Here is a 12,785-nt window from a genome sequence, read left to right on the forward strand (position 1 = left end):
CTGCACTCCAGCCTGGGGGACAGAGAAAGACTCCGTCTCAAAAAAGAAAAAAAAAGAGAAAGAAAAGAAAGGAAGGAAGGAAGGAAGGAAGGAAGGAAGGAAGGAAGGAAGGAAGGAAGGAAGGAAAATTATATTTTATTGGCCAACCTCAAAATTGAAGCTTATTCAGAAACAGATTTAAAAAAAGAAAAAAGTGGAGAACTGCTCCCAGATATATATGCAGAAAAGCTTCAAGTCAACATTTAGGAGGTTTTTAAATATCGATCTGGGTTTCGTTCTAATGGTCTGGGTGTACTTATACGACCTATTACATTTCACTAGACTGTAGCCAATAGTGAGCGTTGACTGACCATTGCTTTCAAAGTGAGTTGTGTTGCCTTTAGCAATACAGTCACATTAATGGCCAGAAAAAGAAAAAAGAAAACAAACACTGGGGGTGTTTGAAACAACTGGGGGTAGGGTGGGGTGGGAAAGGTGTGGGGGTTTGCGTTCGAGTCAACCTCTATTTCGGGGGGTAAAAACTGCCTCCTCCGCTTGATTTTTTTCCTCGATCTGCAAAAGCGTAAATGTTTTGTTTTGTTCTATTGAGATGGAGCCTCGCTCTATCACCCAGGCTGGAGCTTAGTGGCGCGATCTCGGCTCACTGCAACCTCCGCATCCCGGGTTCAAGCGATTCTCCTGCCTCAGCCTCCTGAGTAGCTGGGATTACAGGCGAGCACCACCATGCCTGGCTAATTTTTGTATTTTTCGGTAGAGACGGGGTTTCGCCATGTTGGCCAGGCTGGTCTCGAACGCTTGACCTCATGTGATCCCCCCGTCTCGGCCTCCCAAAGTGCTGGGACGACAGGCGTGAGCCACCGCGTCCGGCCTAAAAGGGTAAATGTGATTACACCCACGCGTATTTGTTCAACAGACATTTATTGAGCGCTCACCACGTGCCAACGCCGGGCGTCTGGGCTCTGGAGGCGCTGCCACGTGGCGGATGCGCAGTGCCCGGCGGCCGGGCTGAGGGGTGAACGCGGGGGTCAGGGGGCCCCGGGCTGAGGGTTTGCGTGCGGGCCGGGTGCCTGGGGGCCCCGGGCTGAGGGTGAGCGCGCCGCCCAGGTGCCAGGCGGCTCCGGGCAGAGAGTGAACGCGCGGGCCAGGTGGCTCCAGGGCGGCGCCCCAGGGCGGGGCCGGCCACGCCCTCCCTAACCCTGGCGGAGCTGATGGGTGGCTGTAGCCTGATTAGACCGCGTCAGTCCGGAGGGTGGGTCTTGGGAGGGGGCGCAGGGCAGTCCACGTTTCCACTGCAGTTTCTCCTTTGTTTTACGTTTGGGAGGAGGTGGCATTGGAAATAGCAGAGTGCTTCGCGGTAACAGGGGTGAGTCTTGTTTCATGGAACTTTTTTCAAATGGGGAGAAGGGGGTTGTGTTGCTCACTACTTGGAATGTGTCGGTCAAAGGGGTTAGATAGTCAGGGAGGGGAAGCGTGTTCTCATCCTGGGACCAGGCCGGAGCCGGCCTCGCCGGGAGACTTGTAGCCCTCGCCCTGCGGTGACCCGTGGCTGGCCACTGGCCTCAAATGTTGAAAACGGGCAGATGGGCAAGTAATACACTCTCAAGAAAGCAAGTGTCTGGCGGTGATTTCCTAAATTGCATTTTTTATTTTATTTCAAAACTTCATGTAAATATGTTTCCTTACAATATCTGGCTAAGTCTTTTCTATATTAACATGCTTACATTGTGATCAAGACACCAGTCTCTTCCCTTTCTTTTCCTCTCCTCTTATCTCTGGAGATGGCAATACCCCCAACTCAAATTACTCTAGCAAAAAACCTAGGAGACTCTTTCTTTTCTTTTTTCTTTTTTTTTGGAGACAGTCTCGCTCTGTTGCCAGGCTGGAGTGCAATGGCGCGATCTCGGCTCACTGCAACCTCCGTCTCCCGGGTTCAAGGGATTCTCCTGCCTCAGCCTCCCAAGTAGCTGAGATTACAGGCGCCCTTCACTGCGCCCGGCTAATTTTTGTATTTTAGTAGAGACGGGGTTTCACCATGTTGGTCAGGCTGGTCTCGAACTCGTGACCTCAGATGATCCGCCCGCCTCAGCCTCCCAAAGTGCTGAGATTACAGGCGTGAGCCACCGCGCCGGGCGAGACTCATTCTTGATTCCTGTTTCCCTTCCGCTCTTCATCCAATCCACCGGCGAGCTGCAGGGCGAGGGGGTGGTTCTTTCTCCTGTTTTCCCGCTCTCCCTGCATTTCATCTCCTCTGCCGCCATCTGCTCCAAACCCCTGGCAGCCCTTCGCGGGATTCCCAAATCTAATAGATTTTTCTGTTCTCCCCAAATCCATTCTCCATGCAGCTGTCCGGCCCATCTTCTAACCTAAAAAAACTTGCTGTTTGCTTGTTGGAAGCCCTGTAATGGTTTCCTTGGGACCTGGGATGAAATGCAAATGGTCCCGGGGCTCACCGTCAGCCCCGCGCCTGGGCCTCGCCCCAGCCCCCACCTTCCTGCCCGCCATAGCTGTAGGGAGCATGGAGCATGGAGCGTGGAGCGTGGAGCATGGAGCATGGAGCGTGGAGCATGGAGCATGGCCTGCAGCCCCCGGGGAGCGCCGGCAGCCTGGAACCAGCAGGCTTCGCTCGTCTCTTCCCACCCCCGTGCACTTTTCCTCCTGCCCACATCTGGCTCCGATGGCCCCCTCCTTGGGGGCCTTTTCCAGACATTCATGATGAAGGTGGCGTCCTCGGTTACTTCCCCTCTCATATTCTTTTTTTTTTTTTTTTTTTTTTGAGACAGAGTTTTGCTCTTGTCGCTTGGGCTGGAGTGCAGTGGCACGATCTCGGCTCACTGCAACCTCCGCCTCCTAGGTTCAAGCGATTCTCCTGCCTCGGCCTCCCGAGTAGCTGGGACTACAGGCGCCCGCCACCACGCCCGACTAATTTTTTTTATTTTTAATAGGGTTTCACCATGTTGGCCAGGATGGTCTCGATCTCCTGACCTCGTGATCCGCCCGCCTCGGCCTCCCAAAGTGGTGGGATTACAAGCGTGAGCCACCGCTCCCGGTCCCACCCCGCCCCGACCTTTTTTTTAATAGCATTTTTCTCAATCTGACATTTTTTGTTTATTTGCCCTTTACTGTCTGTCCCACACCAAACTTTGTGTTAACGAGGAACTTTGCATCTTTTTCCCTAAGTTCAGCACCTAGAACGAATACTAAATGTATATGAAGATTTCGTCCACATCCGCTTTTACCAGTATGTTTTCCATGTACAGTCAAGTTCCATATAAGGCCGTTTCAGTCAGTGAGCAACCCCACGTACTATGGTGGTCCCATAAGATTATAAAAGAGCTGAAAAATCCCCATGGCCTAGTGACATCTTCATGATCCTGAATTTGTGTAGGCCTAGGCTCATGTGTGTGTTTGTCTCTTCGTTTTTAACGTAAAAGTTTTTAAACAGACAAAATTTTACAGAATAAGAATATAAAGAAAAAATATTTTTGTACAGGTGAAAAAATGTTTGTGTTTTAAGCTAAGTGTTATTACAAAAGAGTCAGGAAGTTTGCACATTTTTAAGTTTATAAAGTTAAAAAGAGTCTGGGCGCGGTGGCTCACGCCTGTAATCCCAGCATTTTGAGAGCCTGAGGCAGGCGGATCGCCTGAGGTCGGGAGTTGGAGACCAGCCTGACCAACGTGGAGAAACCTCATTTCTACTAAAAATACGAAATTAGCTGGGCGTGGTGACACATGCCTGTAATCCCAGCTACTCAGGAGGCTGACGCGGGAGAATCGGCTGAACCTGGGAGGCGGAGGTTGCTGTGAGCGGAGATCACGCTGTTGCACTCCAGCCTGGGCAACAAGAGGGAAACTCTGTCTCAAAAAAAAAAGTAAATAAATAAATGAATTTAAAAAGTTACAGTAAGCTAAGGTTAATTTATTATTCAGGAAAGACAAATTTTTAAATAAGTTCTAAAATTTGCCTAAGTGTACAGTGCTTATAAAGCCTACAGTTGTGTACAGTGGCGTCCCAGGCCTTCATTCACTCAACACTCACTCACTCACTCATCCAGAGCCACTACCAGTACTGTGAGCTCCATTATGGGAATGTGCCTACACAGGTGTACCATTTTTTATCTTTTGTACAGTATTTCTTCTGTTTGGATATGTTTATATGCAAATACTTACTGTTGTGTTACAGTTGCCTACAGTACTCAGAACTGTAACATGCTGTGGAGATTTATAGCCTAGGAGCCATGGGCCCTACTGTGTAACCTGGGTGAGTTGCAGGCTGTGCCATTCGGGTCTGCGTAGCTACACTCTGTGATGTTCACAGGATGACACAGCAACCTAAAGATACATTTCTCAGAACATATTCCTGTCTTCGAGTGATGCATGACTAGTTATTTCTGCTAACAGAAATTGGCTTGCCATATAAATAGTTTTCTTTTAGTAAATTAATAAATTACCATTTCAATGTTATATGTCATCCTCACAAGCTTGTATACTGCTATGAGAAATAGCATAATGCTCGGAGATCTGACAAATAAGAATTTAGCTTAGAAAGGTAAGGACCATACTTGAACCTTAGTAAATTCATAAAGAAAACACCTCTCTTAGGAGATGCCTTTCTTTTTTTTCTGTCACCCAGGTTGGAGTGCAATGGTGTGATCTCAGCTCACTGCAACCCCTGCCTCCCAGGCTCCAGCGATCCTCCCACCTCAGCCTCCTGAATAGCTGACCACCAGCACACTAGGCAAACCCACCCCACTCACGGCCTCCCTTGGGAATTCAGACCTAACCATCGCTGAGCTGAAGTGTAGGTGTGGTCTGATTAGACTCATTTTTTCTTTTTTGTAGAGATGGGGTTTCACCGTTTTGCCGAGGCTGGTCACCAACTCCTGGGCTCAAGGGATCCACCCACCTCAGCCTCCCAAAGTGCTGGGATTGCAGGCATGAGCCACCATGCCTGGCCTTAGGAAATTCCTTTCTATGTAACACCCTGCATCATTAATAGCCAGCTTTTTTGAAACTTCTACATTAAATTGTCTAAACTCTCAAATAAATTCCTAGTAAAGTAATTATATAGGGTTGTTAAATCAGAGATCAACAGCACAATGACTAATGCATACTCATGATTTCATCTCACTAGACAAATGTACTGAGGCTGGAGCCTGTGTGAACAGAACAGAAGAGGCCTTCACTCTAGTAGTGCTCACAGTCCAGCAGGTAAGACAGACTTGAAGCAAGGGACACCAGAGCTCTGATCAGTGTGAAATAGGGAGCTAGGAGAACGTTTAGCTTTGGGACTCAACTGAGCTGAAGAATCCAGGGAAGCCTGCCTGAAGAGGTGATGTTTGCGCATTTGAAGTATGGATGGGAAGCAAGCCTCTGTGTGTGTGTTGGAGGATAGGTGGTATTTTAGTGAGAAAAAAGAACATTTGTAATGGACTGATCTGATGCTTTACTGGAGAAAGTTTATTATGGCTGAATAGTGAAATACAAGAGCTATAGATGGCAGGAGGTGAGCTTGGAGGGAAAAGCAGCAGTCAATTAAATTGCAGTTACAGGTTGAGTATTTTTTATCCAAAGTGCTTGGGACCAGAAGTATTATGGACATCAGATTTTTTTGAATGTTTGAGTATTTGCAAAATACCCAATATGAGCATCCCGAGTCCGAAAATTCAAAATCCAAAATGGTCCAATGAGAATTTCCTTTAAGTGTCATGATGGCACTCAAAAAGGTTTCATACTTTAAGCATTTCAGGTCCTAGATTTTCAGATTTGGGATGCACAAGCTGTTTTTTAAATGGACTAATTGGGGAGAGCAGCTCTGTGTTTAATCCTAGTAATTACCCTCCAAAGGTGCTAATATTGTGCTTCATAAATATTTTGAGATCTCCCTGGTTAATTTCACCTCTATATTTTTGTTTTCTTTTTTTTTCTTTTTTTTCCGAGAAAGTCGCTCTGTTGTCCAGGCTGGAGTGCAGTGGCACAATCTTGGCTCACTGCCTCCGCCTCCCAGGCTCAAGTGATCTCCTGCCAGTAGCTGGGATTGCAGGTGTACGCCACCACATCCAGTTAATTTCTTGTATTTTTAGTAGACAGGGTTCCGCCATATTGGCCAGGCTGGTCTTAAACTCCTGATCTCAGGTGATCCGCCAGCCTTGTGCTCACAAAGGGCTGGCATTACAGGCACGAGCCACTGCACCCAGCCCTAATTTCACCTTTTTAAAGGACACAGGCCTGGCGCAGTGGCTCACGCCTGTAATCCCAGTACTTTGAGAAGCCGAGGAGAGCAGATCACCTGAGGTCAGGAGTTCGAGACCAGCCTGGCCAACATGATGAAATCCCGTATCTACTAAAAAATAACACAAATTAGCTGGGTGTGGTGGCGGGGCGGGGGGGCGCCTGCCTGTAATCCCAGCTACTTGGGGCCTGAGGCAGGAGAATCACTTGAACCCCAGAGGCGGAGGTTGCAGTGAGCTGAGATTGCGCCATTGTACTCCAGCCTGGGCAACAAGAGCGAAACTCCATCTCAAAATAAAATAAAAGGACACAAAAAATAACATTAGTAGCATATAACATATATGTATTACATATTTTTAAATACATTTTAAGAAATCTTAAACTTTTCCCCTACAGTTGGAACACATTTTGTTTTTATTATATGTATTTGTTTTTTACCAAAAGTAAATGACATGCTTCTGTTGAGGTGTTTTTTTTTTAATGTGGTTATTTTAATTTTCATCCAACAACTTTTACCTTTGCCTCTTTTTTAAAGGCATATAATTTTTCTTCCTACAGAAAGACATCAGGACAATAAATAGGGAGATCTTTTCTCAGGCACACAATTGTAACATTAAGTAAGAGACTTTTATAGTCAAAGCAATAACATATTCATGCTATAACTTTTATAACGTCATTGCTGTTAAATGTTTAAGGAAATGATAGGAAAGTCTTCAGGGCCAAGCTACCCCGTGCCTTTATTTTGGCATGGATTCCTAAAAGTGGGAGCACCATTAATTTCATGTGTCTTATTCTCTGGATCCCCATTTTTTAGAACAATGAGTGGGCACACGATGGCCCATGGGCCAGTCTCCCTGTTTTACTGGAACACAGCCACCCTCATTCCTTTATGTGTTATCTGACTGCTTCTGTGCCGTGCTACAACGGCAAAGTTGAATAGTTTCAACAGACACCACAGGACCCACAAAGCTAAAATCTGGCCCTTTGCAGAAATAGTTTACCACCCCAGTCTAGAAAGAACCTGGCGTGTAGCAGGATGCAACATATACTTGTAGAATGAATAAAAAGGTAATAAAATAACACGAGCTCACATAGCGGCCAGCATTTGCTGTGCACCATAATCCGTGCTAAGCACTTTGCATGCGTTATTTAATTTGAATTTCATAACAGTATTACATAAGAAAACAATAGGGCCAGGCATGGTGGCTCACGCCTGTAATCCCAGCACTTTGGGAGGCCGAGGCAGGCGGATCACGAAGTCGGGAGCTCCAGACCAGCCTGACCAACATGGTGAAACCCCATTTCTACTAAAACTAGAAAAAGTAGCCAGGCGTGGTGGCGTGCGCCTGTAATCCCAGCTACTTGGGAGGCTGAGGCAGGAGAATTGCTTGAACCCGGGAGGTGGAGGTTGCAATGAGCTAAGATTGCACCACTGCACTCCAGCCTGGGCGACAGAGTGAGACTCCGTCTCCAAAAAAAAAGAAGAAAAAGAAAAGACAGTATTTTGCTCCCTCACCGCCTTCAGGCTTTTAACCAACTGCCACTTACCACCCTAGTGAAGGTTTGCCCGAGTGCCCTATTTAATATTGCAGGCTTCTGTTTCCTACCAGCCCCTTTGCTTACTCTTTCACACTTAGTCACCTTCTAACGTGGCATACATTGCTTATTTTCTATGCTCATGAGTATGTCTACTCCATGGAGGCATAGATGTTTGTATGCCTGTTTACTGATGGATCACAAACTGTGTAGCCTAAAATAGAGCTAGCACATAGTCCCACCCAACACGTGTCAGGTGAGCAATTAGATATAGAGGGTTCCAATAACTTGTGGGGACACCCAGATAAGATCTGTTTATGACTCATGTCTTACACAGAGCTCATTCTTGGTCTCTTGGTTAGTTTATCAGAGAAGACAAATGTATTATTGGAAAATGTGTCTTAGGTCATTTTTTGACAGTGGCTCTAATACTGGAATCTATTTTAACTAAAGGTTATTATCATAAAGCAGGTGTTTGCTGAAGACAGCTTACTCAGATCACTACTGCCTGGAGGTGGTTGATATATCCTGGTGTAAACCTTCAAGAAGGGCACAGGCAGGAAAACATGAGCCAGCAACTGAAGAAACGGGCAAAGACAAGACACCAGAAAGGCCTGGGTGGAAGAGCCCCCAGTGGGGCTAAGCCCAGGCAAGGCAAGTCAAGCCAAGACCTGCAGGCGGAAATAGAACCTGTCAGCGCGGTGTGGGCCTTATGTGATGGCTATGTGTGCTATGAGCCTGGCCCTCAGGCTCTCGGAGGGGATGATTTCTCAGACTGTTACATAGAATGCGTCATAAGGGGTGAGTTTTCTCAACCCATCCTGGAAGAGGACTCACTTTTTGAGTCCTTGGAATACCTAAAGAAAGGATCAGAACAACAGCTTTCTCAAAAGGTTTTCGAAGCAAGCTCCCTTGAATGTTCTTTGGAATACATGAAAAAAGGGGTAAAGAAAGAGCTTCCACAAAAGATAGTTGGAGAGAATTCGCTTGAGTATTCTGAGTACATGACAGGCAAGAAGCTTCCGCCTGGAGGAATACCTGGCATTGACCTATCAGATCCTAAACAGCTCGCAGAATTTGCTAGAAAGAAGCCCCCCATAAATAAAGAATATGACAGTCTGAGCGCAATCGCTTGTCCTCAGAGTGGATGCACTAGGAAGTTGAGGAATAGAGCTGCCCTGAGAAAGCATCTCCTCATTCATGGTCCCCGAGACCACGTCTGTGCGGAATGTGGGAAAGCGTTCGTTGAGAGCTCAAAACTAAAGAGACATTTCCTGGTTCATACTGGAGAGAAGCCGTTTCGGTGCACTTTTGAAGGGTGCGGAAAGCGCTTCTCTCTGGACTTTAATTTGCGTACGCACGTGCGCATCCACACGGGGGAGAAACGTTTCGTGTGTCCCTTTCAAGGCTGCAACAGGAGGTTTATTCAGTCAAATAACCTGAAAGCCCACATCCTAACGCATGCAAATACGAACAAGAATGAACAAGAGGGAAAGTAGTCCTCCAACAGGATGAAGCAGATTAACAGAAGAGTGATCAGTGACAAACATGCCTCATTGATTATTGTTTCTAGGAAGGAATTTCTAAATCAATATTGCAACCCCAAAAGCGGTTATAATTTGGTGTTACTAAGATGCTCCTACACTTTGTGATACCGTTTTAAGGACATGGTGCATTTTTTTTTCTTTTATTTGTTTTATTTAGAACTTTTTTTATTTGTTTTATTTAGAACTTTGTGTGTTCTTAAAGTGTGCTTCCAACAGGAAGGTCAGTGATAAATTTTCAAAAGCATAACCTTCAATATATTATCTGTTGGATTATTGGATATAAGACTTATTTTCATGTACTATAAATATGAAAATAACTTTGATTTTTAATTGTGTAGTTTCCATTTCTTAGCTTTTGCCTTTTAAATTTATACTTCAGCCAGGCATAGTGACTGATGCCTGTAATCCCAACACTTTGTTGGGAGGCCAAAGCAGGAGGATAGCTTGAGGCCAGGAGTTCCAGACCAGCCTGGGCAACATAGTGAGATCCTGTCTCTACAAAAAAATTTGTTTTTATTTGTATTTATATATTTTTATTTTTGTTTTTGTTGGTAGGCGTCTCGCTCTGTCACCCAGGCTGGAGTCTAGTGTCGTGATCTTGGCTCACTGCAACCTCCACCTCCCGGGTTCAAGTGATTCTCTGGCCTCAGCCTCCCAAGTAGCTGGGACTACAGGTGTGTGTCACCACGCCCGGCTAATTTTTGTATTTTTAGTAGAGATGGGGTTTCACCATGTTGGCCAGGCTAGTCTCAAACTCCTGACCTCCAGTGATCTGCCCACCTCGGCCTCCCAAAGTGCTGGGATTACAGGTGTGAGCCACTGTGCCTGGCCCCCCACAACATGTTTAAACTTAGCTAGGCCTGGTTGCATACGCCTGTGTTCCCAGCTACTCAGGAGGCTGAAGCAGGAGGATAGCTTGAGCCCAGGAGTTTGAGGCTACAGTGAGCTGTGATTGCACCACTGTACTCCAGACTGGATAACAGCAAGAGCCCATCTTTTAAAAAAAGTAAAAATTAAAAATATACTTCATGGTTCATGTCATAGCCCTAGAGAATGAAAAATTTGCAGTAGATAGTCAATAAATGAATCAGTAGTTAAATATTCCTTAAAGTCAACTGTATTTCATTGTGATTTTTGTTTTCTTTTTATCATTGTATCAAACTATATGGAAATCATATGGTTAGATGTGATTATTTGATAATGTTAGTCCATTTGAATCCATTTTAGATATTTCACAATTAAAGAATATGAAACTTCAGAAATATGCCAAGTCTGTATTTTAAAAAATCAAAGTCTACATTGAAAAGAGATACCATTTATTTGTTCTTAAAACTTAGCAAAATTCAACAGACTGATGTTCGGTATAGGTGAGATATGGCGGGAAGTTGGGCTTACGTGTGGTTGGATAAGGGATAAACTGTCACAGCCAGTTTGGAAATAAATTTTGTAATTGTGCTATATTCGTTTTTGAGCTGCCGTAGCAGTACTCCCAAGCTAGGTAACTTAGCAGAAATGTATTGTCTCGGTTCCAGAGGCTAGAGGTCCAAAACCCAGGTGTTGGCAGGGTTGGTTCCTTCTGAGGCTGGGAGGGAAGGACTGGCCCAGGCCTCCCTTTTTGGCTTTAAGTGACTGTCTCGTGTTCACATGGCATTCACCCTGTATCCCCACATCCCTTCACTCTGCCTGTGTCCGAACAGGGACACCAGTCATGTGGGATTATCACCCGTGCTGATGACCTCATGTTAACTTGACAAACTCTGAAGACCCTACCTTCAAATAAAGTCACATTCTGAGGTACTGAGGTTATTTGTACTAATGTACAAAGGGATCTGTTCAAGAATGTTAACTGAATAGTATTTTTAATAGTGATAAACCCATAACGTAAATGTTCATTAAGGGGATATGGGCTGCATAATTCATGCCACTTTTGTTCAACAGCAAATGTGCAAGTCTCCTTCAGGGAGAGGGTCACAGCTGGAGGCAAGCCACAAAGAGGAAGTTTCTTGTTACTAACAGATGAGACGGGATCTGGTGTATTTTCTTGCTGTGGAAGGAAATTCAGAGAAAGTAGTTACATACGGATAAAGGGAGAAATTGTCTGAAGGTAGCTGATCTAATGTAGGGGTTAACTCATTTTTATCATTATTAAGTGAATCCCTGATTGGAATCATCTCATAATGGCCAAAAATATGCTGCCATCAAACTTGAAATGCTTATTTGATTTTAAGATTTAAGACATCTCTGGAGGTAGTGCTAAGTGTACCATTAATTTAATGGCTTTTCAGGAAATAACAATACCACACTAAGTAAATATATCAAACTTAAGATTAATCTTGATTTCTAAAATGCCAAAGTCTAAAATATGTCTTTAAAACAAGTAAAAAAAATCAAAGGCTTACATTTTGACGTCAGTATGAGCTAATTGCTACTATGGACTATGGAAATTACTTCTTAATTTGGTCTAGAATTTCTAGTATCATTTTTACAGGAATGTGGGTACTGAGTGAGGAACACTGGGTACATAATCCATTTGTAAGTGGAATTTCCTCCAAATCAAACACCTGAGTATAGAACTTGAGATGGGAATTTGGTATTTGATCAAGATGACAAAGCATATTCTCAGCTAGTTTTGCTTTCGTAGCACTGTGTTTGATTTGCTCTTCTGTGGGTTTCTACTTCAGAGATGAATTAGCACAGAGCACCTCTGAAGACCAGGCAAAAGGCAGGACTGAATAGCAGCCCTCAAGGCCAGAGGAAGTCAGGGGCAGGGTTTAGGCTGCAAGCTGGAGAGCCGAGATGCAGGGCACCGAGAGGGATGGATGGAGATGCTTCTTCCTGAACCATGAGCATTTCTAAAAGGTAGATCAGCCTTTACATAGCGGGAGCCAGTCTCCATCCCTCTTGCTGTTCTCAGATGGCTGTTCCTGTTCAGCTCTTTTCTAGAGCTGAAGGGTCCGAAACTCCCTGTTAACAACTCTAAAGCTTAAATGTGTAAGAAACAGCAATCTGAGAAAATGCTTGTGTATCTGGATCCCAAGGCTTAGTTAAATCCTGACTGAGGAATAGGGTGCTACTTAGCTAGCTTCCTAGCTGTTCTTGTTTTTGCTTTTCTTCCAAAAAGGAACCCTAAAACTGCTAAGAATGTAAGAGGATGCATGTGGATGCAATGTGGATGTAAGATGCATGTGGATGCAATGGAAACAAAAAAAAAAAAAAAGGAAAAGGAGGTTAGCTAATGAGGATATATGAGGATATGTCACCTGAAATCCTTTGTTTATGGTTCAGGAAGAAATGTACATAGACTCTCCACATTTGTGTTTTAAGTAAGAACGAACACAAGATAACCTGAACACATACCCAGAGAAAACTGAAAAAAAGTCTCAGTTCATCTAGCTTTTCACCTTTCCAGGCACTGGCATTTGACAGACCCCAAATCCTGATAAATGAATAAAATGTTTTTCGGTTTTCAAGCTG

At 44.8% G+C, this 12,785-nt stretch overlaps 1 protein-coding gene across 7 annotated transcripts, besides 3 other annotated features; it reads left to right on the forward strand.

Annotated features, from left to right (window-relative positions):
• Nucleotides 482-1,461: an enhancer, noted in NCBI's record as "NANOG-H3K27ac-H3K4me1 hESC enhancer chr4:188916113-188917092 (GRCh37/hg19 assembly coordinates)". NCBI's record gives its function as "activates a minimal SCP1, AML or CMV promoter by ChIP-STARR-seq in naive H9 embryonic stem cells {active_cell/tissue: H9 hESC(naive)}" and the evidence as "EXISTENCE:reporter gene assay evidence [ECO:0000049][PMID:30033119]".
• ZFP42 (ZFP42 zinc finger protein) lies at nucleotides 1,294-10,769 on the forward strand. 7 transcript variants are annotated; one of them, XM_011531606.2, is made up of 4 exons: nucleotides 1,294-1,363; nucleotides 4,631-4,802; nucleotides 5,132-5,208; nucleotides 8,233-10,769. In XM_011531606.2, the coding sequence occupies exon 4, from the start codon at nucleotides 8,331-8,333 to the stop codon at nucleotides 9,261-9,263; it is 933 nt and encodes a 310-aa protein (XP_011529908.1). In that variant the 5' UTR covers nucleotides 1,294-1,363; nucleotides 4,631-4,802; nucleotides 5,132-5,208; nucleotides 8,233-8,330; the 3' UTR covers nucleotides 9,264-10,769. The 7 variants fall into 7 exon arrangements, with proteins under 7 accessions (XP_011529908.1, XP_011529907.1, XP_047305559.1 ...); XM_011531605.2 differs by having other exon boundaries at nucleotides 4,631-4,798; XM_047449603.1 differs by having other exon boundaries at nucleotides 8,236-10,569.
• Nucleotides 1,462-2,443: an enhancer, noted in NCBI's record as "NANOG-H3K27ac-H3K4me1 hESC enhancer chr4:188917093-188918074 (GRCh37/hg19 assembly coordinates)". NCBI's record gives its function as "activates a minimal SCP1, AML or CMV promoter by ChIP-STARR-seq in primed H9 embryonic stem cells {active_cell/tissue: H9 hESC(primed)}" and the evidence as "EXISTENCE:reporter gene assay evidence [ECO:0000049][PMID:30033119]".
• Nucleotides 2,058-2,352: an enhancer, noted in NCBI's record as "tiled region #7889; K562 Activating non-DNase unmatched - State 10:DNaseD". NCBI's record gives its function as "activates a minimal TATA promoter and a strong SV40 promoter by Sharpr-MPRA in K562 cells {active_cell/tissue: K562}" and the evidence as "EXISTENCE:reporter gene assay evidence [ECO:0000049][PMID:27701403]".
• Nucleotides 10,770-12,785: the final 2,016 nt, after the last annotated feature.

The sequence above is a fragment of the Homo sapiens genome, chromosome 4 (assembly GCF_000001405.40).
Source record: "Homo sapiens chromosome 4, GRCh38.p14 Primary Assembly".
Lineage (NCBI taxonomy): Eukaryota > Metazoa > Chordata > Mammalia > Primates > Hominidae > Homo > Homo sapiens.